At 41.9% G+C, this 4,745-nt stretch overlaps 1 annotated feature.

Annotated features, from left to right (window-relative positions):
* Window positions 1,216–1,385: an enhancer, noted in NCBI's record as "experimental_29986 CRE fragment used in MPRA reporter constructs". NCBI's record gives its function as "activates a minimal promoter by MPRAs in K562 erythroleukemia cells, with activity observed for the introgressed 12:58627307 variant allele {active_cell/tissue: K562}" and the evidence as "EXISTENCE:reporter gene assay evidence [ECO:0000049][PMID:34662402]".

The raw sequence follows: 4,745 nt of genomic DNA on the forward strand, positions 1-4,745 counted from the left end.
GGGTATCAGCAGTGGAGGCTACAGAACAGTGGCTATTGGTGAACAGCAAATGTTGCTGCCTGATCTTACCTCTGGAAGTTTTGTCTCAGAGGAGTACCCAGCCGTGTGAGGTGTCAGTCTGCCCCTACTGGGGGGTTTCTCCCAGTTAGGCTACTTGGGGGTCGGGGACCCACTTGAGGAGGCAGTCTGCCCGTTCTCAGATCTCAAGCTGCATGCTGGGAGAACCACTACTCTATTCAAAGCTGTCAGACAGGGACATTTAAGTCTGCAGAGGTTTCTGCTGCCTTTTCTTTGGCTATGCCCTGCCCCCAGAGGTGGAGCCTGCAGAGGCAGGCAGGCCTCCTTGAGCTGCAGTGGGCTCCACCCAGTTTGAGCTTCCTGGCCACTTTGTTTACCTACTCAAGCCTTGGCAATGGTGGGCGCCCCTCCCCCAGCCCCTCTGCCGCCTTGCAGTTTGATCTCAGACTGCTATGCTATCAATGAGCAAGGCTCTGTGGGCGTAGGACCCTCTGAGCCAGGCGTGGGATACAATCTCCTGGTGTGCCGTTTGCTAAGACCACTGGAAAAGCGCAGTATTAGGGTGGGAGTGACCCAATTTTCCAGGTGCCATCTGTCACCCCTTTTCTTGGCTAGGAAAGGGAATTCCCTGACCCCTTGCACTTCCCATGTGAGGCAAGCCTCGCCCTGCTTCGGCTCATGCTCGGTGCACTGCACCCACTATCCTGCACTCACTGTCCGGCAATCCCCAGTGAGATGAACCCGGTACCTTGGTTGGAAATGCAGAAATCATTCGTCTTTTGCATTGCTCACGCTGGGAGCTGTAGACTGGAGCTGTTCCTATTCGGCCATCTTGGCTCCACCTCCGCGTTTTGTCTTATAAGAAAACAATAATCAGTTTGAGAATGGAATTTTTCTACTTATACACACACAGGCATGCATGCACACACTGGGGTTGGGAGGGTTTGTGTCTTCCATTATCTGAATGCAGTAGAGGATTGGGTAGCTGACCTCTGTTTTCATCTAGAGTTCCAGCTAATAATAGAAGTCCACCACAGGGCTCACTGGGCCAGGCTCTTTTTCTTTCATCATCTCTTTTCTTCTTTCCAACAACCCTGTAAGGGTGGTACTGGTAGTCTTTCTATTTTATAGGCAAAATGCAAGGATCAGAGAAGTTGTGACTTGCTGAGGTTCACACAGCCAGTAAGTGGATATCCATCTGTCTGACTTCAAATTGAGGCTTTAAACTATTGTGCTCACTGCCTGTGACTTCCTAAGAAGCCTGGAACCTCCCTTTTTTTTTCACTGGTTGATTCTCACTTTCTGCAGGGAAGTATGAAGGGTGGGGGTGGGCAGGAATGGCTGGGTGTACAGACTTTTCCTTCTCATCCTGAAGATCCATTGATTTCTTCCCTTGGCCAATCTTCTGCTACTGACACTTCCTGACACTACTTTAATTTCTCTCTTTATTGCTCTGTTTATTCTACTTTGAATGTATCTCTAATTAAATCTTCCAAGGGGCATGAGGAGTAAGGAAATGACTTTCAAGGTGTTGAATGAAACTTCAGATATTGGCAGCAGCTGACAAGAGAAAAGGAGAGAGTGGGAGTCTTGGTCATTGGATTCATAAAAGCAAATCACACTTTGTAGTTTAATTTTAGACCTTTCCTTTCTATAGAAACAGCTCTTTCAAAGGTCATCAGTTTGATGAAGAATCCTTACTGCCATGTGCTAGGCCCTGCCCAGTGTGGAACTAATTAACTGCATTGCAGATCTATTGCAGCTTGCGGCCCAGGAAGCCAAATGCCAGATCTGGAAGACAGCAGCCCTTTTCTTCCTTTGCTGGGGCCCCACCTCCACCTGTTGATATACTCACCACCTGTTGATATACTCACCATGGGGTCATCGTTACCTTTGAACACTTATATATCTTTATGACATGTATGTTGCTTTATCTACAACTGCAGTGGTTAGTGTAATTGATCTATCTCTCTTATTGGACTGTGGGATCTTGGAAGGCCAGGACTGTCTGAGTCCACTCCAGATCTCCAGTGTGTTATATAGGGCCTAGTTCTTGGCAACTACTCCGGAGACTGGAGACAGACATTGAATTGGGAAAAGCCACATTGTAACAGGTGTCTAATTGTGCTGATGAATGTGTTGTTTATTCTAGGATCACGACCCTTCATTCTCTATATCTTTCCTTTCTACTGGTTTTAGGTAAAAGAACAGGCATGCACAGTAAAGGAATATTGCCTCTAAACTTTAATGTTTGGTTTACCTTCACAAGGAAGATAGCCCTACATCACCATCAACAGAGACTTATTTTATTTTTAGATGGTTTTAATAGTAGTTGCTTTGAGTGGGGTCTTGTTCTGGAAAATACTCTAGAGTTCATCATGTAATATATGGTTAGATGAAGAAGTATTATAAATCATTTTGTGATTCTGTAATTCCATGGTAAACTAGATAATTTGCAAGTTTTAATTTATGGCCTCATAATTGGGTTGAAATCTCCCAGGGTTTTTGTGGACTAAATATTTGGGAAAAACATTGATTATCTCCTCTTAGGTTCTCCTTGTCTCCTCCTAGGTATCACATTATATCTGTCCTCACAGGCTTATGACAAGAAAGGCTCAATTGAAGCAGGCCACATGGTGTAGTGAAAAGATCATCACCTTTGGGGTCAGACTAAATGCAAACTTTAGTTCAACCACTTAGGGATGTCACTCTGATCCTCAATTTTTAAACCTGTAAAATGTAGAGTGAAATATTCATTGCAGATGGTTTTGCAATGAGATAATATGTTAAAAGTGACTGACAAGCTCCAGTCAGTGCCCAATTAATGTAAATCCTCTTCCTCCTCATTAGAACTAATATTATTTGGTATCTAAAATGTAAGAAATTCATCTGCTGTATTTAAATGGCAACATTTACACGATCCATCATAATGATGAGAAGGATTTATATGAGTATAACAAAAGCTCTTTTTAAAATCTGGGTTTATTTTATGAAGATAGTGTTTAAACCTTTTATAAACTTTACTATGGATGTATATAAATTCGTGAATATGCTGTTCTTTCCTTTACAAAAGGTTGAGTATCATGAGTTCCTTATTCTTAATGTAGTTTATGTTTTTATATTGTCATTTTTATCTTTAAAGCTTTAGCATTTTTTATTTCTTTTTCAGATTAATATTGTCAATGAAAACACGTAACCATTAAGAAGCGTAGTAGTAGGAATCGAAGACTTGAAAAAACTGTGAAAAGCAAAAAGCCAATTTAATTGCCTGGCTAGTGGGAATATAAATAATGAGCTAACATACTGAATTCCTCATTTTGGATGCTTTTGAAGGTGAACACTGTACACATTAGTCATATAATAGATTATAGATAGGAAACACCTAATTCCTTAGAGCTGAACCAAATCAGAAACATTTAAAAAGTGATTATCTTGCTACCCAAAAAATACTGTATTGTGGAAATAGTATTTAATTATTTTCATTTAATAACTACATATAAATCTGAAGTGAATTTTTAAGGAAAAATATAGAAAATTATCTACCTTATCTCTTTCATTTGAAAGATCTGGTAGTAGGCTAATGAAAGAGAAAATAGCGGAACTGGCATATAAAATGAAGTGAAAGCAATATAACCACAGAGAAGAGCAACCATAGAGAAGATATATATTCCCAATTATAAGGAAGCAGTCTCATTTTAATTTTGGCAAAAGTTATTTGCTATGATTAGCTCAAGGCTAAAGTAACTTTGTTTAGAACTGTATGATATCAGGATTCTAGAAAGCCATTCCTTGCAGAATTGGTCAGAGCTAGCTGTCTGTACTAGCATGTATTGAATGTCCTGCTGTGGGTTATTGTTGGAACTGAGATGGGGCATATTCAATGTTCTGCTGGTCCAGCCAGTCTGCATCCAGAATTTAGATGACAGGAGAATTCTGTGCAGGTTTGATGATGATCCTTCCCCTTTACACTTTGGGTCTTACATGATGGGCACTATTTAGCGAAGCTATTATGGTTGGAGGGGCCTTTATTGCAGAATGAACACAATCAGCAGAGGTAGAAAGATGAGAAAACACGTGGCTATTTGGGAAAAAATATATTTAGAAGTGAAAAAGCTATGTTATAAACTAAGAAGATTACCTGTTTGAATTTGGGAGTTGAGTACTAAAAGGGGTGTAGTGACACAACTCAAAATTGTTTTGGAGTGATGGTTGGAAAAGCCCTGAAGCAGGCACGTAGAAGGCAGCAGTTTCCATGTTTACCACGTGCATATCCAAAGATTCCTGGTGCTATTCTCATCACCCTTCCAGATCTCAGAGCTGCAGGTTCAGGGAGAAGTTATAGAGTAGGATAAGTTTATCTTTAGTCAACGCCGTGTCCTTCCTTTTTGCTTCCTCCCTCAGCAGACACCCATTGTTCTGTGCTGGCCGTCCAGACCCTTTCACTGGCATGTCCACCTAACTTTGTCCTTACTAGCAGTGCGATGTCTTGAATGTTTGGTTATGGGAAAAGCTGTCTCAAAGAGTGTCTCATGTGTGGCAGGCCATCAGGGGAGGCAGCTTTGGCTGAGGGGGAGGAAGAACGTGGGCTCCTCCTCTTAGAGCCAGCTATGCATTCAGGGGAGTGTTGGGCATCTCCCCAGGAGGAGTCATGGTCACAGTGGGTGGTACATTTGTCTCCGTATCACAGGAAAGAGGCTGTAGGGTGAAGTTCATCACTTGCATGAGCA

Source organism: Homo sapiens, chromosome 12 (genome assembly GCF_000001405.40).
Source record: "Homo sapiens chromosome 12, GRCh38.p14 Primary Assembly".
In the NCBI taxonomy this organism is placed as follows: domain Eukaryota; kingdom Metazoa; phylum Chordata; class Mammalia; order Primates; family Hominidae; genus Homo; species Homo sapiens.